This window comes from Homo sapiens, chromosome 18 (genome assembly GCF_000001405.40).
Source record: "Homo sapiens chromosome 18, GRCh38.p14 Primary Assembly".
In the NCBI taxonomy this organism is placed as follows: Eukaryota; Metazoa; Chordata; class Mammalia; order Primates; family Hominidae; genus Homo; species Homo sapiens.
In genome coordinates, this window is record NC_000018.10 from 64,145,503 (window position 1) to 64,172,886 (window position 27,384).

The 27,384-nt window shown below is 37.6% G+C and overlaps 2 long non-coding RNA genes across 7 annotated transcripts in view; one reads left to right on the forward strand and one right to left on the reverse strand.

The window, feature by feature from the left end:
• Nucleotides 1–3,586, reverse strand: part of LINC00305 (long intergenic non-protein coding RNA 305) — a 69,094-nt gene extending 65,508 nt beyond the window's left edge. For 3 of the 6 annotated variants that reach the window (NR_190191.1, NR_190190.1, NR_190189.1), the window contains exons 1-2: nt 3,451–3,586; nt 3,273–3,355 (exon numbers count right to left, since the gene is read on the reverse strand). This is a non-coding gene — a long non-coding RNA (long intergenic non-protein coding RNA 305). Of the gene's footprint in view, nt 1–3,272 lie in introns of all 6 variants that reach the window. The other 3 variants (NR_027245.2, NR_190192.1, NR_190193.1) reach the window with 1 other exon arrangement.
• LINC01924 (long intergenic non-protein coding RNA 1924) overlaps nt 1–27,384 on the forward strand; it is a 319,511-nt gene that overhangs the window by 41,412 nt on the left and 250,715 nt on the right. The gene's annotated exons all lie outside the window — the stretch shown is intronic.

Consider the following 27,384-nt stretch of genomic DNA (forward strand, 5'->3'; position numbering starts at 1 on the left):
CCGATCTGCCTGGGAACAAAGAGAGAGCCCCATTGCATTGTGGGCTGCTGGCCAGATCCCACAATAACCCAGATAATATTTTTTTGTAGTTTTAGTGGAGACAGGGTTTCAACATGTTGGCCAGGCTGGTCTCAAGCTCCTGACCTCAGGTAATCCACCTGCCTTGGCCTCCCAAAGTGCTGGGATTACAGGCATGAGCCACCGCATCTGGCCAGAACTGTACATTATCAAAACTGTGTTGCTCTAAGCCACTAAGTTTGTGGTAACTTACAGCATTGGAAGAAAATTAATGAAGTCTCTGGGTTTTTGTTGTTATACAGGCATAATCATATGCCTATATAATGATATACCCTCAAAGTTAGGTTAGCAGTACCTATTGACAATATTTCTCTTTTTGTAGGGTCCACTTGTTTTCGAAAATCATTAATTTTTGGACTCACAAGATAGATTGCAGACAAAGCTGTTAGAAAAATGTGGGGTACTTATTAGTCATTCCAAAAAGAAGAAAAAAAGTGAAATATTAATATTTTATGGAAAGAACAAACCACAGGCTATCTTAGTAATTAAAAAAAACTCTGAAAGACAATTATCTTTTTATTTTAAGTTAATTTCAAAGTTTTATTCAGCACTGAGTTAATTGTTTTCAAGATTATCTAGTGGTCGAAATAAGTTATGGTTGGTGCCTGGATTAAGAAAGCTTTTTTAGAATAGTAGTATTAGACAAATATGTCCACCATAGCACAGATTGTTTACAAAGAAAGCTAATTTGTTTAGAGAATGGAATGTCCAAAGATGACAGTGTGACCATCCCAAGAAACAGCTCCCATTATGAATTTTTAAAACTGTAACCGTATTTTATGTAGTTGGACTTTGTATGTGTGTGTGTAAATACGCAATGAAAGCTTATGACCAGTGAATGTTGTTGTAAGAAGTAGCTTAAGTGACCAGCATTCCTTCTAGGTTGAATACCAGGATGTTGTGGCAACCAGAAAAATAGAGATGTGAGAGATTTGATCGACCTGGTGCCCCAACGGTCATCCCCAAGTGAGACAGCCAGACATAACCAGCATACATCACAGAACACCTGACCAGCTCCCACCAGCGGGGCTTCTGTGGGCAAAGAAAGATTTAATTGATCTTTCTTAAGTTTCTGTTAAAGTATCCACTAATGGAGAAGAATTGGAAAGCATTAAGATGCCTACATCTTTCCAGACACTAGAAAGTAGAATGCTGTATTTAAGCAGAGACATGTTTTAACACATGCTGTGGGGGACTGGAGTAATGGAAGTGCTGAGAATTTCTCTAGCAGACTAGGACCTAGGGTAAGAGGGGAGGTTTAAGTGTGTGTGTGTGTTTATTATATTGAACCACTGTTAATAAGTAGTGGATCTCCTGCTGAAAACTAAAGGGGATGCTTTTAGTTCAGCTTCACATATTAGCAAGTCAATTTGTATGTTTTTCAGAATGTTTCTTTTTTTAACAGAATTATTTTCTCATACTACTTTCCCAACGTTTTCTTCTTCAAAAAGTACACATACAAATTGCATAATGGAAAGCTGTATATTTAGTGTAAAAGAATCATAGCATTTACTTGAGGTCCAGTAATTTTGAACACCTTCCCCAATGCCACATGAAAATTTTGGAATATTTAAACATTCTGTGGTTGCCATGGTAGTACAATCTCAGCCTTATTCATTCCCTTCAGAAAATGAAAACTCATAGATATCTTTAAACTAATTGGATACCTTATAAAGATTATAGCAAATGGGTGTGGTATTTTTATGTGGCAACATAAGAATTTTAGCCATCAAACTAGCACTATTCTACAGTAATGTTGAAGGTGGATGAAGTATATCGAATGAGTTTATGTGAGTTAAAGTATTGAATACATTTACATAAATTTGCATGTATGTAACACTTTCCCTAAGAAACTCCACAATGCTATATCTGCTCTATCTTCTGTTTTTAACATTGTGAGTAAATTGGACTCAAAATTTACTGATTTGTACAACTGATATACAAATACTTAACTATATTTCTTGTAACTCATTTCATCTTGTTCACCCCTATTCTGGCTGAAAATGTCTGGCTTTGTCCACCAAGGATGGACAAAGTCCATCTCAGTCTCTCTTGAATTAAAATGTGTCAGCTTGAGTTAATTACTCAGTATTTTAGTTGTTCTCGCCCTTTCTCCCACATTGCACTGGGATGCAAAGGGAAATCTACAGAATATGATGACGTGGATTGATAGGTAGAGGGAGTCTGGGGGAGGGAGCTGCTTAAGTGACTACAGCTGTCATAATTCATAATTGGTTTTCTCATATTGGTCAAGGACCAAGTCTCCTGTGTGAATTCAGCCTGCATCTTGCCCAGGTTGGTGCAGCTGGTTTTGGCCTTTTACAATGAAGTCCTTTTGTCCCTACACTTGGTGACCAGTGAACACCATTCACAATAGCACACATTCTTTCTGGGACATCTGGTAACATCATAGGGAACCATCTCGGATGTACGTTCTTAGATGCTGTGCTGACCATGGGGCCCCTAGGAGACATGGGTTTTCCAGGTCTTTCAAGGGACAAGGGATCTTCCAGGTTGTGTCCAGGGAAGTAAGAAAGAAGCTTCCTATCTAGGATCTCCACCCAACCTCAAATGTTTCTGGAAGTCTTTATTGCAGTCTCTCTTCTGAGATTCAGTTCAGAGGGGAGAGAGGAGTGTAAAGTCTAACCTCATGTCTCTCTCTCTCTCTCTTTCAAGCCTCAGCATCTGAACCTATAGTGACCAGAAGAAATTTCTTCCTCTGGGGTGCAAACTTCCCTTATCTCAGATATCTTTATGTCTTTTCACTAGGACTAACTGTAAAACTATGTTCAGATGTGTAAGCTTTGCTCCTAATAAGAAAAATGCATTTTTTTTTTTTTGCTTGTTATATAATCATCCTACATACCCTTAAGCAAGCCAGGCTTGCAACTCACTGTCTTATAAGGGAATTTAATGATGTCTAATGAGGCCTCCAAAGTGGAACAAGGTTCCCTTTCTCTAGGCTGTCTCCAAAGAAGTGGGGAAGGAAAGCAAGATGGGGGGTTATCTCCAGATTTAGGCTCTTTCTAAAAAGTTGGAAGGAAAAATATCTTTATCTTTCTTGGCTATTCTTTTTCTTAGAGCCACACTTGAGGTTTTCTACATACAGTGGCCATAAGGTGGCTGTTGGTTGATGTGTTTTACTTTCTTTTTTTTCAAAGTTATAAGTAGGGAGAGAGTTTTTTTACAAGTACCTTGTGAAGGGCAGTCTGGTTCCTCTGGTGTGGTCAATCTTAGGCTTTCAGGATGCCTCAGCTGGTTTCAGTGGTCCTGGAATCTGTGTTGGATGCAAGGCAGGCTGGATTTGTACTTGTGCCACTCTGTGAGTCACTGGCCAATCTGAGAAGTAGCACTAGGGAGAAATTAACTCACAAGAAAGGGACCTTGACAGACTAAATTGGAGACAAGTTCACAGGAAAGGGGTGTGGAAATCAGAGTCCATCATTTCCTGGACCAGCTCACAGGTGGGCTTCAGATGGCTGTTGAACTGAAGTGGCAGGAATGTTCTGAGAAGTTAAAGGAACATAGTGCAGATAGCTACATCAGCTAACAAAATATATCAACCATACTCCCCTTCATGGCCACTGGTGGAAGGAATCCATGAGTTGAGTGCCTTGTAAAATGTTTCCATAATCTCTTGGGGAGTGGCAGGAATGAATTTCTCACCATGGTATGGAAAGAGCCATCCACTAAAGACACCATTTGTGAAAAAGCGAGCACCCAATTCACGCCTTAGAGCAGGGAGCCTTTATCTGAAGTCATTGAACTTCTGGGGAAACCATCGATGGCAGCCAGGGTGATTTATCACGCAACCATGTGTGCGTGTGCCTCTGTGCATTTTCTCAGGAGAGATTCTGGGGCTTTCAGCCGATTCTCAAAAGAGTCCCTCACTGCAAAATATCAAGGGCCATTAGATGAATGGAAATGTTGTACTAACAAGTAACATAAAGCTTGATGCATAACCCTTTTCTCTTTCCCAGAAATTCCAGTCAAACAGAGCAATGTCAGTGATCACAAAGTTCATTTCTATTTTCAGGAATTCCTTTTGTGGTAAAACTCATATAAAAATGTCCACTTAAAAGAGAATAACAATAACCAACAACAACAAAAGAGAACAAAGTCTTGTCTTGGGTGTTTTGTGAACACTCTCATAAGGACATTTACTACCAATAAGCAAAGAATGGAGAATATCTTTAAATCACGGACATTCCTTATAGGGTGTCCAGCTTTGGAAATTCATTTGTGAGCCAAGAAGTGTGTGCGTGAGGATGAGCGTGGCTTATGATAAATAACTTACTGTAAAGGGCAAGTTTCAGTTAGGAATTAACGATTCGTCCTCAGGAGGCCTTTATTTACTATTAAAAACCTGAGTGCCTTTTGCTGTTAGCAGGCTGATACAGGGAAATTGATTCTCTTCACAGAATTTCCCGACGGTCCCAATAAGCCATTAAGCGCTCCTGGCCTTACCTTCCTTGGTTTAGTAGCTGCTCTGCCGTGGTCAGCATCGTTCTCTCTGCAGCAATTAGTGGCAATAAGTGGGAGCTCGCACAATTGATGGTGTAAAATGCCTGGACAGTGTGCAAGCAGCAGTTCTGAAATGCTTCACCGAGCAGAGCTCTTGTACTCAATGCCTCCCTCCCATCAGTTTTCCAGGTAGCAGAGCCTAATGAAGGCACACAGCAGGTGGTGCAGGGACCGGAGGATCTCCGGTGCGGAGCTTTCTGTCCTGGTCAGAAGGACCAGACTTTGCTTAACAGGCCTGCTACGGATCCCTTCATCTACCACCCCAACTGATGCAACTCAATTAATCCTGAAGAGGTTTTGAAAAAAAAGAGGCTTTTCCATCTCTCTCTTACAGCATTTTTGATTTCTAGCATTCCTTCTTGATTTTTTTTTTTTTTTGGAATTTCCATCTCTCTGTTTAATTGTCCCCATCTGTTCCTGCAAGTTGTCTACTTTTCCATTAGAATCTCTAGCATATTAATCCTAATTGTTTTAAATTCACAATCTCATAATTCCAACATCCCTGCCTTATGGGATTCTAGTCCTGATGCTTGCACTGTCTCTTTAGGATGGTTTATTATTATTATTATTATACTTTAAGTTCTGGGATACATGTGCAGAATGTGCAGGTTTGTTACATAGGTATACACATGCTATGGTGGTTTGCTGCCCCCATCAACCAGTCATCGACATTAGGTATTTCTCCTGATGTTATCCCTCCCCTAGCCCCCAACCCCCCGACACGCCCTGGTGTGTGATGTTCCCCTCCTTGTGTCCATGTGTTCTCATTGTTCATCTCCCACTTATGAGTGAGAACATGTGGTGTTTAGTTTTCTGTTCCTATGTTAGTTTGCTGAGAATGATGGTTTCCAGCTTCAGGGTTTGTTTGTTTGTTTGTTTGTTTGCTTTTTAGTACACCTTGTGACTTTTTGTTGTTGTGTTGAAAGCCAACATGATGGATGGGGTAAAAGAACCAAATAAGCCTTTCACAATGTGGTGGGAAGGTGCCTGTGGGTGTGTGTTGGGGGTGGGACATTCTATAGTCTTATAATTACATCTCCACTTGTGCCCTGGGCTGTGAACTTCACAAGTGCTTCTCAGTCCCCCTCCTCCACTCCTACCACTTTAAATGGGACAGGGTGGCTTGAGTGGGCTGGAATTGTTTTTTCCCCTTTTCCAACAGCGGGAGGTAGAATTGGGTACTTCCCATTTCCCAGGTCAGTTAGGGTCTGGTTAAAACTTCAATAGTTTAAGGTCTGGTGAAATAGTTTCTCTTGCGGGCAGGCCTTGTTAAGAAGAACAGAATGCTCTGGAATATTTTAAAATGATTATCTTTCCCCTCTCCCTGCCAGAAGCATGAGTAGGATTTTCTTGGATTTTCATTGTAAGGACCTAGAGGAGCTCCCAGAGGTAAAATTTATAAAACTGTGAACCGCCCCCGCCACACCCCCACCCCACCGCTTCTATATTTGGGCTCCCCTGGAGTTTTTGACTCTCAGACTTGTCCACACCAAGCCTCCAGCAATTTGTCAGTTACAATTTGGGTTTGGTGTCTATGGTGGTTTCATGCATGGGTTTCTGCTCTGGTAAGCTATGATTCTGTATATCTGCTTGTCAGTCTCAAATTTTGGGGACTGTGGCTTGCCTTGTGACCTCACTTTTCTGACAGATCTAAGAAGGTTGTTAATTGTTTGGTTTGTTCAGCATTTTACTTGTTGGGGTAGAGTGATGACTTCTAAGCCTCTTACAAGTCCACAGGAAACAAGAAGACTGACTTATTTGGGTACAAAAATTTAATTCATTCATTATATTTTACAAAAACATTTTCGAAACCTTTCTCTGCTATAAAAGGAGCCTCTCTAAGCATTTCCAGTATCCTCATGATTTAATTACTCAGTATATGCAGATGATTCTCTATATTATGTCTCTGACCCTGACTCTCTACTATGCTATATATATTCACATGTTCATCTCGCTACCAGGTTGATATATTTGAATAAGCAAACCTCAGACTCACATGTCCACAACTGCTGTCAATATTTCCTTGTCCTTATTCTGGGATCTTTACTTGCCTCCTGCTCTTCTCATAGCCTCTGTGCTCCCAATCAGTGGTGCTGACATTTACCCAGTTCTCCATGTTAAGAAAATAACAACTTATCTTTCCAGACTGCTAATCTCTCACTGTCCCACATCCAGGCAATGAACAGGACTTGCTGCTTTTACTTCCTGAGGGTTTCTTGGATGCATTTCCCATCTCCACACTATTACCATGGTTTTAGCTTGGGCCACGTGGACTCATTCCTGGATATTGTAAAAATCTCTTAGGTCTCCATACCTTCAAAGTCACTCTTACATAATCTCCTCCACACACTACACAGAGTGTCCTCTCCACAGCTGCACACTGCAGAAGTCACCAAATTTGGTTACTTATTCTTTTCCGTAGTATAATCTCCATTCCACTGTACTGTGTTCCTTTTTAAGATGTTATTGTGTCTCATTAATTAGGACAGCATAGTCTGATTTCCTCCTCATAAAACTAGTAGCAGTTTCTCATTCTTTCTTGGTCCCTAGTCCACACCCCTCTCCTTCAAGTGATTGGTCCTCATTGCAGCCCACCTGTAAATCTGTGTAAGCTGATGGCCTGAATGCCTTCTCAGACTGCACATGCAGGCTTTTGTGCAGCTGCCATTTACACGCTCATGGATCTGAATTATCTTTAGTACGAATGTCTTTGCTGAAATGCAGCTGTGCCTATGACTGGAATTCCAAATACAACATGGCCCAAATTGAGCTCCCCGCTTTGTCCCCAATCCCACTTTTCTTTCTGTTCAAGTATTTCCTGTGGTAGAGTTAGCATTATCAACCACCCACTTGCCCAGGTCAACATACGCAGACCCATACCCAGTCTTCTTTTTACTTTAGCTACAGTAATTCCCTGGGCAATCACCTCTTGTCCCTGTGGTTCTAAATATTATCTAAGTGCTGATAGCTCCAAAACCCCTACCTCCAGCCTGGAATTCTTTCATACATAACTCTCTGCTTAACACCTCTACTTGGTGGGCAAATCATACTTACCATTTTGGTATTCTTTAATACTACTCCGCCATTACTCCTTCCCATCTTGGTTAATGGTACCATCCTCCCATGTCTCTGGCTCAAAACAGAGGAGTCCAACTTGATACCTCTCGTTCTTACTTCTCATACTCATTCTATCAGCCCATCATATCAGCGTTGCATAGCCTGAATTCTAAACCAAACCACTTCTTATCATGTCTCATGCTTCTCCTCTAAGTCATTTGTTTTTACCTGGATTACTGTAGTGATCCCTTGATTTGACCTCCTGATTCTACTCTTATTCCCAATTCCGCCAGTAAAATGCACAGAGAGGCTAAAGAGATTTTTTGAAAAGAAAATATCAACTTCTATCATTTTATTGCTTAAAATCCTCAAATTGCTGCTCATTAAAATTAGATTACAATGCAAATTCATTACCAGGACCTAAAAATCTATGGCTCTGGCTTCTGCCTACTCACTCTCCCTTCCCACTTGTTTACTCTTCTCATTTACCTTTGTTCTCACTCTTGAATAGGTTATGCTTTTTCTGACCTCAGGGACTTGGCATAAGCTTTTGCTGATCCCAGAACACTCTTTTCTAGAGACTTGCATGACCCTTTCACACCATTCAAATCTTCACTCAAATGTCCTGTTTTCAGAAACATATGCCTGACCTACCAACCTAAGGAGGCTTTGCAATCCTTTCCAGCTATTTATTACATCATTATACTGCTCATTTTATTCCTAGCCCTGGCTACCTTCTGAAATAATCTAATTCACTGATTTGTTTAAGCAGTTAGTATCTGCTTCTCACCAGGCCCATCTTCCACTAGTACATAAACTACGTAATAACAGGAATTTTGCCTAACTTCTTCACCATTTTATTTTTAGGCTCTAGAAGCTTGGAGAGCATGTAGCAGATTCTCGTTAAATACTTGTTGAATAAATTTAAAAGTTTACAACTTCATTTTCTTTCTCTTTCAAATCTAATGTGCATTTCATTAAATCCTGTTTTTACATCTCTTATGTATTTCTGACAGTGGCTCACCTCTCCAGCCTCACTGTTCCTAACATAGTTTAGGTCTCCATCATCTCTCCTCTATACTGCTGAAATAACCTTATTTTTCTTGCCCACAGTTATACTTTCTCCAGCCAATTCCTTAAAACTTAACCAGAGTAATCTCTCTATAATGCAAACTTATTGATGTTTTTGTGTAGCTTAAACTATTTCATTGGCTTACCACTGCTTTCAGGATAAAATCTGAACTCCTTTGTATGATTTCCAAGGGGTCCATGATCCAATCCCTGCTTAATCCTTCTCTCTCCCTACCTTGATCTTTGACCTTTCCTGGTTCCTAGAAAAGTGTTCTCTCTTGAATCTGGAGCAGAGAATGCATCTCTTCTCTCCACTCTTCCTTCTCACCTATCTAGTTCTAAATATACTTCAAATCTCACCAGAGCGGGCACCTCCTTCAGAAACTCACCACGGACAAGCCAATGCTGTGCCGAATACTTCTTCCATAAGTGAGCACAAAGAACTTTGTTTCTTCTACCTCAGAAATTAACACTTGGTATTCTAATTATATCTATCCAAAAGAGTTTAGTGGTTGAGAATAGAGACTCTGGTGTTGGACAGAGTGGGTTCACATTACCTGAACAGGCAGCCCTGGCCTCACTGGCCTCTACTCTCCAGAAAACCCTCTAGTCATTTTCACCCCCTTCCTTCCCCTCTATCTTCATGACTCTCAACCCAAGTGTTATGGGACTGGAGTGAGGGGGGTAGGGCGCTTGTGCAGGATATTTATTTCTTGGAGGATGGTGGATAAGAGACCAAGTATAGAGGAGGGTATCTGTGGTGACGAGGGCGGATTTGACTGAAATGTGCTATGTCCAATGAGCGACTGAATGTGCGATGTAATATTAAGGATGGACAGTACTGGTCAATATCCCTGGGGGTTGGGTGTTATGTGGGGGTTAAAGTTGATGTGTTACCTGTATTTTTGAATACCCTGTTTAAGACGTGCCAATCAGCTTGTGTTTTTGCACATATCATGTTGCATCTTTGGGATGTCTAGAATTTTTCTCTTCTATCTTACTGGAATGCTTTCTCTACATTGCTTTCCCATACAACATATTATCTCTCTTTGAAGACTTTTCACATATCTGGGTAAGTCCACACCAGGACTTCGTGGTGCATGCAAATCATCTATTGAAATGCCCATCTTTCTTTACAGGCAAAACCTCTCAAGAGCCAGGACTATGTCTTATTCGTTTTTATATTCATCAGGCTCAGTGCTGAGCACATGCTAAATGTTCATTAAATGCCAGTTGAACAAAGAGGGGAGAGAAAAAGAAAATAACTCGAAGTATAAGGTGCTTTGCCATGTGTTTTTCATGAAAGAAAGAAGGAGATTTAAACAACAGGGAATGAAATTCTGCTTTATCTTTCTTTCATTCTCAAGAAAATACTAGGTTTTCTATCTTTTTTTTTTTTTCCTGAGATGGAGTTTTGCTCTTATCACCCAGGGTGGAGTGCAATGACACAATCTCAGCTCACTGCAACCTCCCCCTCCCAGGTTCAAGCGATTCTCCTTCCTAAGCCTCCCGAGCAGCTGGGATTACAGCCATGCGCCACCATGCCCGGCTAATTTTTGTATTTTTTTAGTAGAGATGGGGTTTCACCATGTTGGCCAGGCTAGTCTTGAACTCCTGACCTCAGGTGTTCCACCCACTTTGGCCTCCCAAAGTGCTGGGATTACAGGCATGAGCCACTGTGCCCAGCCCGAGATTTTCTATTTCTAAATGGATGCAATGAATTCATCTGTAAAAATCATCATGGGTACTTTTCCCTCCTGCACCCCACATGGTAGTTGGACAAGTATTTGTGTTAGTCAGATTAGTCTATAGTATTAGGGACACTTGTCGCCAATATTTATCTTGTGAACAGGCCTGACTGTCTTCCTTCCAGCCTATCTCATCCTCTTCTCTCCATCCTGGTTTCGGTGCATCTCAGATTTGCTGCTCTGCTCTGCCTTTTAGGTGTCCGAGTGTGGAACTCTTCTGACTTTCCTATTTCCATTTTCCAGGTTGCACAGAATACAAAAAGTGGAAGGCTGAATAAAAAACAAGGTACAGACACAGTTCCTCAGAACATTGTTAGAAGTTATAGTTGATTAAAATAGGAAAATATTACTTGTGAAAGATTGTCTACTCTATGGAGAAAAGGTCCAGAATGTGAATTCATAAATAACTAAAATGAATAATCTCATTTCCCATAAGGGACAGATTAAAAAATGGATTTTTTCCCTTAAAACAAGTCAAATTGCAAAGAAGGAAAATAGGACCAATTGTGAATTTAAATGAATGCTCAAACTATTACAATTATAACTGCATTTCTTTAGAAGAGTTAAATATTTCTGAATGATTACAGATTAAGTTTATTTTCAAACCTCTGTTCAGATAATTTATCAAGTAGAAGGTGTCATTTAAATAGGAATTACTATTTCTGTACACTGTACTGAGAGGTTTTTTTTCTTTTTCTTTTTCTTCTTTGGGTTCTGAAATCACACCAGTTGATTCTAGATTGAACTTTCAGAAAAGTTTCTCTAAATGCAAACACCCTTTTAAAATAAAACAGCTGAAAATATGGTTTGAGAGATTGAGCCAGTAAGATAGATATTGTCACCTACCTGGTGTTGTCTTTATTAACTACATTAATAAATGTTTCTCAAATGTAAGGAAACATTGAAAATAAACTGAGACTTAAAATTGTCAGCTCTTAACATCTGGTGGGGATGGGGCTAGCTATATTCTAGAATTCAAAGTTCTGAGCATTCTTAGTCTCGGTAAATATTCAAAATTACATTTTGAAAGAACTGAATACTATTTAAATACAATGAAGTAGAATAATTGGCAAATCATTCATGCCTACACATTTTCTTAAAGAACAAATAATCTACCTTCCTCCACAGTCATCTTCCTATTCAAGAGTTAGAAAAAGTTGTTCTGTACCTCATTTTGCTAAAACTTTGCATGTGAGTAATTATGTCTATCAAACTGTGTACATGTTGTTTCTATAATAAAACCTTGTCTATCTAGGATTAATAGCAAAGATGCCTTAACACGTATGAACGAAGCATGACCTGATATGATTGTTCTCACAACCAGACTGCTTCTAGAAACCTGATTATCAGCTGGTTCATTGAAGTGACTCTATTGATCATGTATACAGAACAAGTGACAACACCTATTCCCAGAGAATCCAGAATGCTTATACTTTAAGTGACTTCAGAGTTAAATTGGGCTGTTTCTTTGTGATCAAATATCCCTGCATTCCTCTTCCATATTCTGTCAAGTCAGTTAGCTTTTCCTGTGCTCTGCTTCTCACATTGTTTTTTTGTGAAATGACACAAAAGGTCTCCATCATCTCCTGCACTTTTGGATTATTAATAATTGTGGGGAAGGAAAGGTCAATACCTAGAGGGCAGACTGGGGCCTCTCAAACCATTCTCAAAGATTCCCTGATCAACCTACAAAGAAACATGCTCTACATTTTAGGATATTCAAAAAATAGTGAAAACTGACTATAATTCTGGATATTTTTGAAACTGCTTTTCTTTTGGAAAATCTTTGGGAAGAGGGGCTTCTCCAGCTGAAGTTCACATTTTAAATATTCATTAAAAAGTTGTCTTCATTTATTGAAGGAAAACTCTTTGCTCCAGGTTTTGGGAAAGAGGGAGGGTGGGAGGTGGTCAGCTGTTCTTACATTTATCTTTGATAAAGCACAGGTCGTTTTCCAGTGGCAAAGTTCTAATGTAAACCACATTGAGCCACGTTGGAGAAATTGAGAAGGAAATGGAAGCAGAGCTCATTTTGCTTTTGTTTTTGCTTTGAGTTCTTCTTAGTACCAAATTATGACCCAATAGGCAAATAGACATTAGTTAATGTACCTTGAAATTTCCACTAATTCTCTTGTGACTTTGGATCCGCTACTTCTTGTTGTATTAAATTCTCTCATAAATACTGTGAGTTGTGACTTATTGACTTTAACTAACAGAAAAGTGAATCTCAGTAAGTCAATGTGGAGTTAGGTGGCTGCTAGATGGCTAAATGGGAGCTGAGACTCAGATCGGGAGTGACTCGGTACCCCCCACAGGCACTGCGTGGCATGCCCTGTGTCTAGGAACTTTTCTGACGGCTTTTGTTTTTGTCATTTTTTTTGTTTTTAAACATCTGTCTAAAAACCATTCCCTGAGTGCCCTGGTTCTGCTGGGTGACAGCTTGCTAGCTTTATAAATGAATCCAAGTGAAGGTGATATTGGGTGCTAATCAGATTATCTGCTATTCCTCTGAGATGATACAACTGAATTTTAATAGAGAAATTCCTCAGATCATTTGTTAATGTGAAAGAGTGGATCTCATGCTGACACTAGAGTCACTTGGCTACCAGATGGAGCAGATATTTTTGGCACATGTATCTATTAATGTCCTTAAAGTTGAACTATGTAGTAGGCAGCTCCTACTTTGGATATTCAAGAGGATTGACCTTAATAATAGTGTTTCTGCTGTTATGTATGAATATGGTCAAAAAGATATATATGTGAATACCAGTCTCTTCCAGTGTAATGTTATAGTTTTATCCCCATTTGTAGGAATTTATTGTCTAATTATTCCTACCGCATATTTGGACAACTGATCAAAAGGACCCCATTCTCTTTACTGACAGCTCCTGTTCAAGTGACCTCACTGCTTTCTGATGACCCCCACTGGCTATGCCACATTTCTGGTGCTGAATGGATGCACAACACGTCCGTACTCATCTGGGCTTCGATGCAGTTGTTCAATTTGAAAAGTAAAGCAGTACTTTAATGGTCCCTTCAGTTCTCACACTCAGTGTTTCAATATTTGTCCTGTTCTACCTGGCTTGTAATCAATCCTAAAACTTCCTCACATTTCCAGATGATGGAATGAACAATCCTGCGTATGGCTTCCAAACTGAAAACTCAGAACTTAAGGCTCTGGTCTGAAGTGGCCACAGTTCATCTCTGGCCTTGACAAGCCATTTGTTGGCCGTGGAACTCATTACTTGAAAGAGATTTGCTACAGCTCCCGTTATGGTGCCTTTAGAAGAAATAAAGATCTCCTGCCTCACTTCCAATACTTCTTTTATGGTAGCACCAGAAATCTTGATTTCATTGGCTTATTTGTGAGAGACCTGACCCATCTCCCAATATGCACTCTGTTCTGGGTCTGATGGATGAAGAGTCAAGGCCCCTGCCTTTTGCTCTCCTGGGTAATAAATGTAGCTTACTGTGTCCACATGCCAGAGATGTAGGTGCCAGCAGGGCAGAGAGGGACACAGGACTTACAGCACAGAGTTCATGCGCTCTGTTTCAGGATAATGCGTTTTTGACTGCCAGGTGTAATCTTCACTCCTCTTTCGTGCAGCCCCCATCTCTCCTCTCACTCCCTGTCCTAGATTTTAAATGGTTATACTTTCCTATGAATCCTCAATTTTTCTTTTGTTTTGGAGCCTAGTACACTGAACATTTCTTCTCATGCATAAAAGATACCCTGGAAACTCCCACCACGGCTGCATAAGTATTTATTTATTTTTTATTTTTTGAGAATCAGGTGCCGAGGTAGTACCTTTAAGAAACAAGCATTTATAGTTTTGTTATATGATTTGGTTCAGTTTTTATCTCCCATACTGTTTGTTTTTCAGGAGCGAAGAGGGAATTAAAAATATTACAGAAAGAGAGCTTCCCTTGGTGGTTAATTTTAGGTATTTTGTGAAGAGATGAATTGGATGGGCTTTTGAAAGGAAATAGAACTAAAAGAAATAGAATAAATCAAATATAGATTAGGTGCTAGAAAATTTGTTGCAAAGATGATCTGAATACTGTTGATCACTAATTTTAAATTAAATGCAATCCTGATATGAAACAGATAATTTAATGATAAAGTTTCTATATTTTGATTTAAGATACCAGTATTTCCCTAGAGTTAAAAACAATCATTTTAATCACTTGGGTAAATTGCCTAAATTGTATATAAATCAGGCAAGTAACAAAACATTTTTGCATTATTTTGCAGTTTTACAAGTTACTTTTCTCCTACATAGCACTAATGTTTTGATTTCAAAAGTTAAAGTGAGGAAATACATGTGCTTTATCATAACATGATAAATTTTAAAAATATATTTTGTTTAGAATATAAGAAACTGAAGAACTACGGCTTTGTTTCTTTATAATTGTATTAGTCTGTGCACACTGCTATAAAGAAATACCTGAGACTGGGTCATTTATAAAGGAAAGAGCTTTAATTGACTCACAGTTCCACATGGCTGGAGGAGGCCTCAGGAAACTTACAATCATGGCTGAAGGCAAAGGGGAAACAAGAACCTTCTTCATATGGTGGCAGGAGAGAGAAGAGTGAGGAGCGAAGTGGCAAGAGCCTCTTATAAAACCATCAGATCTCATGAGAACTCACTCACTATCACAGGAACAGCATCGAGGAAACCACCCCATGATTCAATCACCTCCCATCAGGTCTCTCCCTAGACATGTGGGGATTATGGGGATAATAATTCATGATGAGATTTGGGTGGGGACACAAAGCCTAACAATATCAATAATGAAGAATAGTGTTGGAGTTACTCCTTAGGTAGGCAGTATTGTTGGCCCCTTCTGAAGTGTGCAGTTAAGGAACAGCCTGCAATTCACCCGTAGAGAATTTCTTATGAATGAGAAATCACATTCCAGTTGTTTCCAAATGGAACTATAAAAATATATATGTGATACCAGATGCACAAGTATTATATAATTAGATGAGCTTTTAACATTTTTCGGAGTCAAGTGCTGAGGTTTCATGAAAAAGGTACGTTTCTTTTTTCATGAAAAAGAAACCTTGTGCTAGCTCTGACCAGCCTATTTATAGACAACCTGAATGAAATCTCTAGGTTTTACTTAATGCATCTCTACAAGGTATTTCACATGCTTAACTCCGGATGAACAGCCAAAGTTACCTAAGATCTTGCTGCCAGAAGAATGCAAATTTCCCATCCTACTCCAAAATTGTTTCAAAAGTATTTTTGTCCATAAACCACTGGCCTGTAAGAATACATATCTCAGTCCATCAAGTATGCCAAACCATGTCTGTGTTCTTTCCCTCTTTCCCTTTCCACTTAATAGTTGAGCCATGTTCTTCTGGCTATGGTTTTTCAGAGAGAATAAAAAGTTGGAACAATTATTTGGGATAGACAGCACAAAGATTCTATTTTGACATCTGAAGATTATAGAGTTAAATAAAAACATTGAGATTGGCTGGATTGTTTTCATAAATATTCGACAATATTTATATTTATTTTACAATTGGACCAAAATACAATAGTATGATATAAACATGTTTGTCCCACGCTGCCATTTGTAGCGTGGTGCATTTGCAGATCTGAGTATGAAGAAAGGCACATCAGTCTTAAGCCATGGTGTTACACTGAACTAGATATCTAATGACTTTGAAGCAGTCAAAATAACTTTGAAAACTCCTGGAGGAGAGGTAGAGGATACACCTTCCTAAAGTTAACATCATTCTGTCAGTAGAAATATAATATTGATCAGGCATACTATATTTGATAAAGACTGACAGCTTATAACAAAGCAATTCCATCAATTAATTTATACATAATCACAGGGATACTGAAAGCAAGGATTCTCAGAAATCTGTGAATGTGCTAGATTGAATATCATTATAGACACTACTGGAGAAAATAGGCATGACCTGAAAGTTTTTTAGGCAGATGCTTCTTTGATGGGAGGATTCCTATGATCAATGCTGTATCTTCTGTAGGGAAGGGTTATTTTTAATATGTCTTCTTTAGCTTGAAACACACTTTAGCTCATTCTCTCCCTATAATTTGGAAAGAAGGCAGCTACCATAGCAGTTAATCATGACCGAGCCATAGACTACTTAATCAGGGGGAAAAAAGTCTTCTCCTGATGCAATTTGCTCGCAAAAATTTCAAAGGAAGCAGCCCTGGAGTTACCGAGGGTGAATGAAGTCAGAATCCAATACAATGTAGATGCAATAATTCTCTATTTCGGCACACCTATCCACCAGGTTAATATAGCTGTCATTTGTCACAAAAGGCTTTTGGGAAACCAAATGCAGGATTCTTCCCTTTAGCTAGAAACTTACTTGGCTAGAAGGAAAATTGCTGGGGAGGTTACAGAATAACTAATCTCCATTCTTCCCTCAGAAATGTGCTCACCCTGAATTATCTTGCATTAAAATAGAAGAAAAGAGAGCCCTGAGTATTCAGGTGAGCTACCCTGTCAGTCCTTGGGGTTTGGAATCCTATTAGAGGTGTCTTTATAGTTTCACATTAACTGCAACCGTTTCAAGAGCTCTCCAGAGATTTTCTCCTTACCACTGCTCCCCTCAATCTCCACTCCCCACAATATAACTCATAAATGACTTCTCAAAGTTTTTACATTTCTCAGTCCTCTTTTTTAAAGCATCAGTGAAGGTATTTTTGAAGAATTAATAGGATATTGTATTCCTGGGAGAAAATGACCCAGTCAACTAAACTGGCGAAAATGAAGACTTGTTAAAAAAACCTGGTTTACTTTTCTGAATTAAGAACTGAAGTTGCACTAAGTATGACATTTCTCAACCTCTTTTTGTTATTTCTTGCCCCTTTTTCTGTTTCCTCCACTGGACTCTAAGTTCCATGAGGCAGGAAGAGTGTGTATCCTATTGATTCTTGAATCTCTAGATACACACAGGATTAGTTAATGCCTAAATATTTGTTAAATGATTGAAATAATTAATGAACCCAAGGAATAGGACAAGTAGGAAAAATATTGAGTTTACAGGCATTTAATTCTCTTCCCACTATTTAGGATTCTTGAAATTTGACCAAAGAAACTTATGGAAAAATGCTCGCTCAAATTAGAGGGACTTCTTTCCCCGAGTCAGGCCTAATTTTAAATTATTTTAAAATAAAAACAATGCAGAAATTTCAGCATAACCAAGCCCTGAAGACAAGTCAAAGGTTACATTACTGCCTTCATCTCTGCTTAAAAGCAGTATTGTGCAAAAAAAGCAGATAGCACCATGGTGGCCTCAGCTTTTTGTTTACATAGTTTTAGTCCTTGCTTTGTAAAACAAAATTTGTGGAGACCCTCACGTCACAGCTTTTTCAGTGATAAATATGGGATTTAAAAAAGTAACTAGCATCTGTTCCAAAGAATAAAGGAATTTCAACCCATTTATTATGCAGTCTCAGGACTGAAATCATTAGCTTGATGATATCAAATCATAACTCCATCTCTTCATTGCCACCAGGTTTATGGGCCCTTGTTTGCTGGTTATAACATTAAACAAAATGTTGATACAAAATCTGGCCAACATGGCGAAACCCTTCTCTACTAAAAATACAAAAAATTATCTGGGCGTGGTCGTGTGCACCTTTAATTCCAGATACTTGGGAGGGGGAGGCCTGAGAATAGCTGGACCTCACGAGGCAGAGGTTACAGCAAGGCAGCGAGATTGGGCCACTGTACTCCAGCCTGGATGACAGAGCAAGACTTTGTCTCAAAAAAAAAAAAAAAAAAAAAAAGGTTGAAAAACTTTATCAGACTTTTTTGGGGGAACTTCTCAAATTTCCATATTTGGTATGATGTCATGATAGAATGAAATTTGTTGTTCTGCAAAGATTTATAAACATCGTAGTGTCACTTCCTTGAGGACAATATAATTTTAATCCTTTTTTCCCAGGACAAAGGAAAAAATAATCAAATATATGGTAGATAGTAAGGGTACCTTATGTCTGCAAAAGTCCACATTCTCCTGGAATACTACATCAGCAGTAGCAGGAAGGACACCTTTTACACTTCAGAAATGCAGAGAAATTGCTGTTGGGTAGACAATTGCTGGAGATATATTGAAATAAGCCTTATGATCTCCACTGAGATGAGAGACAAGGTGTCTGAACAGTTAGCGGTGGGGTTCCTGCCACATTCCTGTGAAACTTTATGACTTAGAGGAGTAAAGATAGGCAGAGAGGCAGACAGATGGCTATACAGAGCCAGCTGATGTGTGAGGCAAAATGCTAGGTCTGGAGAAGAGGAGTTGAAGAAGATGATGGCCAGGGGGCTGAGAGGTGTTCATAGACCAACTAGTGAAAGGAGAAAATAATATATATATATATATATATATATATACACACATACACACACACACACACACACACACACATACATATATACATATGAGTATATATTATATTTTATATATATAAAAAGAATATATATGTATTCCTATAGGTATATATTCCTACATGTAATTCCATATATATATATTTCTTTCTCTATATATTCCTCTCTCTCTCTCTATATATATATATGTTCCTCTGTATATATTCTTCTCTCTATATATGTTAATGATTTTCCAACCTTGAAAATCGTACTTTCTTTTGAAAACAAGCTAAACTAACACAAATCTCTCACAATGCATGACCCAAGGGTTTCTGGTTTATCACTCTAGGGGCACGTGACCGTGGCCCTCCTTAAGAATCAAACATTGATATTAACTGATGATTGCAGCGCAGTTGGACCAGTGCTCTAACAGAACTCTGAGCAGAGGGCTTGAGCACACCAAGGAGTAAGAGGTGGTAAGCACTGGCTCCTGTACTGAGGAAACGGACAAAGTGAAGACCACGTTTGAACCCAACTAGGTTCATTCCTCCACGACAAGCTCTGCATTTTGTTTGAGCTTCAGAAACAAGGATGAATAAAGCAAGGTGTGCCAAGGAGGGGACACAATCATACCAACTACCCAGCAAAGTCTTCTGATGTGAGGTAATCCCCATACTGTTGTAAGCAGGTAGCCGAAACCCTCGGAATACCTACTAGGGATTAGTAACAGCAATGCCTCTAGATCCTCAGTTGCAGCAGGACAGCACCCTCATCTGGTTTTGCTGTTTTGGGTCTTAAGCTTCTGGCACAGGGCAAGGCACATGGTAAGCACTCAGTGTTAACATTTGCTGCCGGCATTAAAAAGTGTAGGTCCCATGGGAACATATAAAGGACAACTGAATTATGCTGTGGTGGTTGATTAAAAAACTTAAAATAAATTTATTTCTGGTAAAAATCAACATCAGGCTATAAGAAAAAATATAAGATCCACTTAAATTTTTTATTTTACTCTTTAGGGGAAAATAGCTGTTTTATTCCTGCTATTCCTTCAATGTCTCAGTGCTAGTCTCTCATAGCTTAAAAATTATACTCAAGACCAATGGAAAAAATAAATATATTACCAAAATAATAAAAGCTTTGTGTAAGAAATAATTATAATTTTCTCTGTAAAACTGTCACTTTTTCCTTTTAAAGAAATTTTGTATGTAATATATAATTGGTGTCTAGATATAAATTTAAATCATTTGATATCTCCAAAATATTTTGTTTAGCCCATTAGTAATAATGAGATTTCAATGGTTATATAAACGTACTCACTAAATCCAGACTGTTCTCCACTGGGGGAGCTTTAATTAGATTTTAATAAGAATGGTGAGTTAAATATGACTATTAAGAGACCCTTTATTCTGTATATTAATCATGTGTCAAGATAATAAGATGTGTTTTAGGTATTCCAGTTATGGATAAAGAAAGGGGATGCAGTTTCAACTTAGCTGTTACCAATATTGATGAATTTCTGTTTACTGGTTGGAAAATACATGTTTTCATTGTTTACACATTTCATAATTATCACCAGATGTGCCTTAATAAGAATGGATTATTTCAACTGAGGTAAGTAATTCATTAGCTTGTAAATAAAATGCATATTTGGCAAGCCAAAGAGAAAGCATTAACCAATCTAGAATTGTAGTTTTTTTTCCCCTAACTGCTTACAGATTGCCTAGACATTCAAATCCATAAACCACTCGACACCTCCTGCTGAGGCAAGGCCTTACTAATGCTGAGTAATAGATTGTTCAGCAGCATGGGAAAATACATTAAGGAAAGAAGGGTGATGTTCACGTATTTTTTAAAAAACCCTCCCCCTTCCCTTGCTTTCTTCTGTAGCTTTTAATACAGAGCATTGTAAACTCTTCCTCTGCAGTCCTAGGAAAGGACTTGCTCTGTCTTGAGGGATTATGTCTGTGATACACTAGGGTTATACAGTTAGAAAATTAATGGTGCACAGAACTGTATTTGAAAATAAGAGCACTCCTTTCTTTAAATTAAAATAATTTGGATACTTTTTGATAATTAAATAAATTTGGCTTCATTTTAATATATGATACTTTAAATATTAAACTTGTACTTTGCAAATCTGATGCTATGTCGGATGTTGCAATTGATACTACAGATTTTAAACCATGTTATTTATTTATTTCAGCAAACTTTACTTTTACACTTGTACTATAACAGAACTTTTCTATTTTATTTAGTCAAGTTTAAATTTTCTAACTTTAGATCATTAGAATTTCTAACTTCTAAGAAGACTAAGACATTCTTCTTAATTTTGCTTTAAATATATTAACTACTGTTTGTAATAAAATTGAAAATAATACTATAATGAAATAATGACATTAATTACATGCATTTCAACACACTTATGTACACCATGTTCTACTGGAGATAACTTAGTTGCTTTAAAGGTTAGTTAAGTTGAGGGTTGGGGTTGTGGTGTGAACCAAGTACAGGCTAACAGATAACTTGGTCTAGGCGAGAAAGCCAGCCTCAGTGTCAAAAATATAACAATAGCTTTCTGATTTCTTGTGCATACCTCTATTTGTAAAGAATATTGAGCTTAAAGCAGAAATGCTTTTCATTCTCACTTTCAAATGGCTAAAATTAACCAATAGCTAATGAGAAAAGCACAATAGATGATGTGAACACCAAAACAACAGGCTCAATGGTTCTATCTTTATTTGGTAAAGCAAGGAAATAGCTTATAATAGGGTACTGCCTATTTCTTTCTTGTCATTTATCTATTTTTTATGTGTTTTTGCTTTTGTTATGGTCCAGGGAAGTTAAGATAAATCAGCTATTGTTGTAAGGTTTTTGTTACGATTGATTTTCTGTTGTGTATGAAGCAAATCACACTAAATCAGGTTTCAACTCTTTCAGCAAAGAACAGAAATAATAAGAAAGGCAGAAACTCAACTTTTTTTATTTCTCTAACCATTATAACAAAGTTGATGTTTATTAATTTTTATTGTGGCTTCTTAAAAATATTTGCAATTGTAGCAAATTAAATGTTATGTCATTTAATTTATGACCACTGGGGTCTACCATAGTTAGACAATGAGATCTCCAGGTTAATAAACTCACACAGTTGACATAAAATTTTAAATTCTTTTTAATCTCCAGGTTAAAATCTTCTAGAGGTTTTGTCATCTCTGACTACTGCAACAGCCTCTGGACTGGTCTCCCTGTTGCCAGTCTTGAGTTCCTGCAATTCATTGTCCTCAAAACATTAGGAGTGATATTTAAATGCAAATCAGATCACATCAAAGTTCTGCTCCAAGCCCTCCAGTTGCTTCCATTGTACTTAAAAATATATACATTTCCTTTCAAGACCTCCAAAGCCCTTTATAACCTGGTTCCTGAGAGGTCCCACTACTCTCATCTGATTTTATGCCTCTCTACTCAGTCACAGGGTCAGCTGAATGTTTCATCAAAGCACCAAACTCTTACTTATCCAGGTCTCTTTGTGCTATAGGACAACAGCTACTTTTTATGAGCTTCATTTGGTGAAAGCAGTGTAGAGTAACAGCAAAATCCACCAGGTTACAGTAAAGGGTTGCTTTTAATCCAACTTTAATTATTATACCAGGAAGCCCATGCAGTCATTCAAAAAATTATTTTGTCCCCTTAAATAAAATCATTGCAGTCATTTGAGTTTTATGCCTTTTTAGCATTCAAAAATTTATTTTATGATAGGAACATTATTTGAAAGTTTAAATTCATTGCTATTTCTATCTCCTATGCCTACTTCAAAAAGGTTTTGGATTAGGTTTTATAAATTAAGTCCATTAGAATTTCAGAAAATGTGTTAAATGTAGAGACTTTATCTTTTCTTTCATTAGCAGCTCTGGGTCTGTAGGCACGGCACCATGATATGATAACTACCACCATGTTTAGGCCAGGACTGAAATTTGAGGTTTGCTATCTGTCTATCATCTCTCTCTCTCTCTTTCCCTACGTACCTACCTACCATCTATCTTTGGTCTATCAATCAACTGTCTACTTTTAATATCAAGCAAAAACAATAATGGTCAAGTTTTCAGAACACCAAGTATATAGTTAGAAGAAAAAATGTCCTTTGAACAATGTCACAACCAGTAAAATTGAATATGTCACTGTGTATGCTTTAGTTTTCCACATTAATCTGAAAGAAGCTGATATTTGCCCAGTATCAATCCCTTAGGAAGATCAAGCAATTCCTTCGATAGCATCTGAAATGTTCTGAACACCTCAGCACAAGATGTTCTACAAACACAATGTATTATTATAATCATTGTCTCTATCTATTCTGCACCTAGTAGAGCATACTATTTGCCATCCATCTCATACTGATGTTGTAGGGATTAATGAGATATTATCTATAAGGTACTTAAAGCTCCTTGGAATCAGCAGGTTATGTAAATACAAGGGAATTTGATTATTTTTAACCCAATGTGTTATGTTGCCTCCTAATTGTCCCTTTTCACCCAGAATAGATGCAAATGATTGATCAAATTCACCCTGAGAGAAATAGCAATATAAGATTAAGTTGCTTTGGAAACTGGAATGTATGTGTGTGTGTGTGTGTGTGTGTATTTGAAATGTCATTTGAATTCACTATCTTAGATGAACATGTTTCCATTCTGAGCTATTTTGGTTATACTTAAAGGGATGTGATTATAACTCTCAGATCTTGATCTATGAAGCTAAATGTTTTGTACCACATCTCTATTAGAAAAAAAAAAGTTATAAAGTGAGACATGAAGTCATTTTAGTAGCCTTTGACAAGATTACATGTAATAGCTTTTAGTCAAGATTTTACTAAATCTATAGACACTTTAGAAATAAAAGCCTGAATTGATGTTTCATAAAACCTCATAAATTTTTCCCTTTCTTTTAAAATAAAATTTCTCTTTTTGAAAGAAATTTAATATTCCTCAAACAAAAAACCTACATTTTAAATGAGAAACAGGATGTGGGGAGTATTTGTATGAATCAGAAACAAATTAAATGGTATGTAATGAAGAATTAGAATTAATTCAAGTGCCTATGGTACTGTGCTTTGAAAAATACATATGAAGGATTCTGTGCAACAGACAAGAGCACTGCATCAGTTTCCAGTACCAGTGCGCTCTACTATCTACCCCTCTCTCTTGCTGTCTCATAATCCCTCTGTTTCGCCTTTTATCAATCCTTCCATCCATTGATCTACCCATCTATTCATCCAACCGTCTACTATTTATCCATTCACTTATTCCTCTGTCCATCCATCCATCCATTCTTCCATACATCAATCTGTAAATCTATTCACTCATCTATCATTTATCCACCCATCCATCCATCCATCCATCCATCTGTTCATCCATTCATCCACCTACCCATCAGTATTAGGCAAGGTTCTCTAGAGAAACAGAACCAATAAGAGAGAGAGAGAGAGACAGAGACAGAGACAGAGAGAGATATTAATTTATTATGAGGAATTTATTCACATGATTATAGAGGCTGAGAAGTCTCATGACCTGTCCTCTGCAAGCTGGAGACCTAGGAAAGCTGGTGGTGTTGTTTCAGTCAGAATCTGTAGGCCTGAGAACCAGGAGAGCTGATGGTGTAAATCCCAGTTCAAGGGCAGGAGAAATGGATGTCCCAACTCAGGCAGTCAGGCAGAAAGAACACAAATCCGTCCTTCTTCAGTTTTTTGTTCTATTCAGGTTCTCAATGAATTGGATGATGACCACCTATATTGAGAAGGTCACCAATTAAAATGCTGATCTCAACCAGAAACACCCTCACAGACACACCCAGAAATGATGTTTAATCTGGGCACTCTGTAGCACAGTCTATTGACACACGAAATTAACCGTCACATCATCCACCCATTTATCTATGTATTTCTCTATCTTTAATATATTTTTTATCTATCTATAAATGTTTTCATGCAAATAAAAGCCAGCTGCAGGGCTATTAAGTTTTGTGGACAGGGTGCCTGTGTAACAGCACCACTACTTACTAGCAGGACAACTTCCATAAATTACTCTGTGTACCTCAGTCTCTTTACCTGTAAAAAGGGAATAACCATAGCTCAGCTCATATGGTTGTTGTGAAGGTAAAAAAAAAAAAAAAAAAACTACATGTAAAGCTTCTAAAACAGGGTTTAGCACAGAATAAGCACTCAATGATGTTATCTATTAATAGTAGTGATCATTATTCCCTCCCTAATTCCTTTTAATCTTGCTTTCTTTGTTATTTCATTATAACTCTTATTATTTCCTCCTTCATTCATTCAAAAATATTTATTGAGTAAATACTTGGCATTTATTAATTGAACATTGTATTTTTCTACTGGGTATCTTGAATTTGAATCCAGATGACCTTTTAAATTAATCTAACTATATTGCATTTATTTTTGTTGCTTTGAAGAGGCCACCTATATTAATCCTATTTCTCATCTCTAAAATAGGAATAAGACTGTTTTTCCTGCCTGCCTCACAATTGTGAGGGTCCAACACTATAAAATATATGAGATATTTTGTAAATTATAAAACTCAGTGGAAACATGTGTCTTGTGATTATTTACACACTTCTTGCTTCCACCTTTACTCCATAGGGATGGATTTGCTCAGTTTTACTATCTACTTATGGTGGATGCCTAGCGAATCATCTCCAGTTGCCTATCTGGAAATTGTCATTGGTACCCCCATGTATAGTCTACATTTATATCATTTTCCCTATACGCTAAACTTAATTTCCAAATTCAAAGAACATTCGATTTGCTATCATTGAACTTCCAGTTTCTTTAAGTTGAAAAATCCTGGAGTCAATTCAATGCCACAAAAAAATTGAAAACATCATTCTCCTACTTGAATGACTTCCATAATTCACAGTCACCTACCAATACTTCACGTTGACAGTCAAAGCTTATTATACTATGGATTGTGCTTTAATGTTATAGTCTTAGTTACCAGTACTGCTCTATATGCCCTCTGCATTCCAAGAAGCTGGACAACTTGCATAAGCATGCCTGTGCTTTCTCCTTTCATGAGTTAACTTATTCTTATCCCATTGATACTAAATTCTTTATTAGTTAACAGACAAACTAAGTGAAAAAAAAAGTACTTTAGAAAATATATCACAGAACATATACAGTTAAGAGATTATTTCTAAAAGTTTCTTTTAACTGTCACCTACCTATATGAAACCATTTTTCATCCTCTGCAACATGGTATGCTCTCTTTTCTTCAAAACTCTATGGTACTTTTCTATTTTTTTTAATTTAAGAATTTATTTTACTTTGCAACATAGTTATGTGTACATGTTTTGATATAACTATTGTTCATCAGAGCCGTGTCCTCTCATTTTTGTGGTAAGAATCATAGCATCATATTCACAGTAAGACCTCAATGTAGATATACTTTGGAGACATTGCACATTCAGTTCCAGACCATTGCAATAAAGTGAATATTGCAATAAAGTGAGTCACACATTTTTGGTTTCCTAGTACATATAAAACTTATGTTTACATGATACTTTATGAAGTGTACACAAGCAATATATGTACCTCAATTTAAAAATATTTTATTGCTAAAAGATGCTAATAATCATCTGAGCCTTCAGCTAGTTGTAATCTTTCTGTTGGTGGAAAATCTTGCCACCTCGATGTTGATGGCTGCTGACTGTGGCGGTGGTTTCTAAAGTTTGGAGTTGCTGTGGCAATTTCTTAAAATAAGACAACAATGAAGTTTGCCACATCACTTGACTCTTTTCTTCCATAGAAAATCTTCTACAGAAAACAGCATGTGATGCTGTTTGATAGCATCTTATCCATAGAACCTCTTTCAAAATTGGAGTCAATACTCTCAACCCTGCCACTCCTTTATTAACTTAATTTATGCAATATTCTAAAATCATTTGTTATCGTCTTAACAATGTTCATAGCATCTTCATTAGGAGGTGTATATTCCATCTTAAGACACTGCTACCTCCTCCCATGAATCGTGAATGTTCTTAATGGAATATAAAATGGTAAATCCTCTCCAGATGGTTTTCAGTTTACTTTGCCGACATCCATCAGAGGAATTACTCCCTATGGCAGCTATAGCCTTACAAAATGTATTTCTTAATCAATAAAACTTGAAAGTTGAAATCACTCCTCGATCCAATGGCTGAAGAATGATGTTGTGTTAGCAGGCATGAATATGACATTAATCTCCTTGTACATCTCCATCAGAGCTCTTGGTCAGTTACATTGTTAATGAGTAGTAATGTTTTGAAAGGAATCTTTTCTTCTAAACAGTAGATCTCAAAAGTGGGCATAAAATTTTCAGTAAATCATTGTGTAAACCGATGTGTTGTCATCTAGACTTAGTTGTTCCCTTTAGAAAGCATAGGCAAAGTAGATTTAGCATCATTCTTAAGGACCTTAGGATTTTTGAAATGGTAAGTGAGCACTGGCTTCAAATTAAAGTCACCAACCACATTATCCCCTAACTAGTCAGCCTGTCCTTTGAAATTTAGAAAC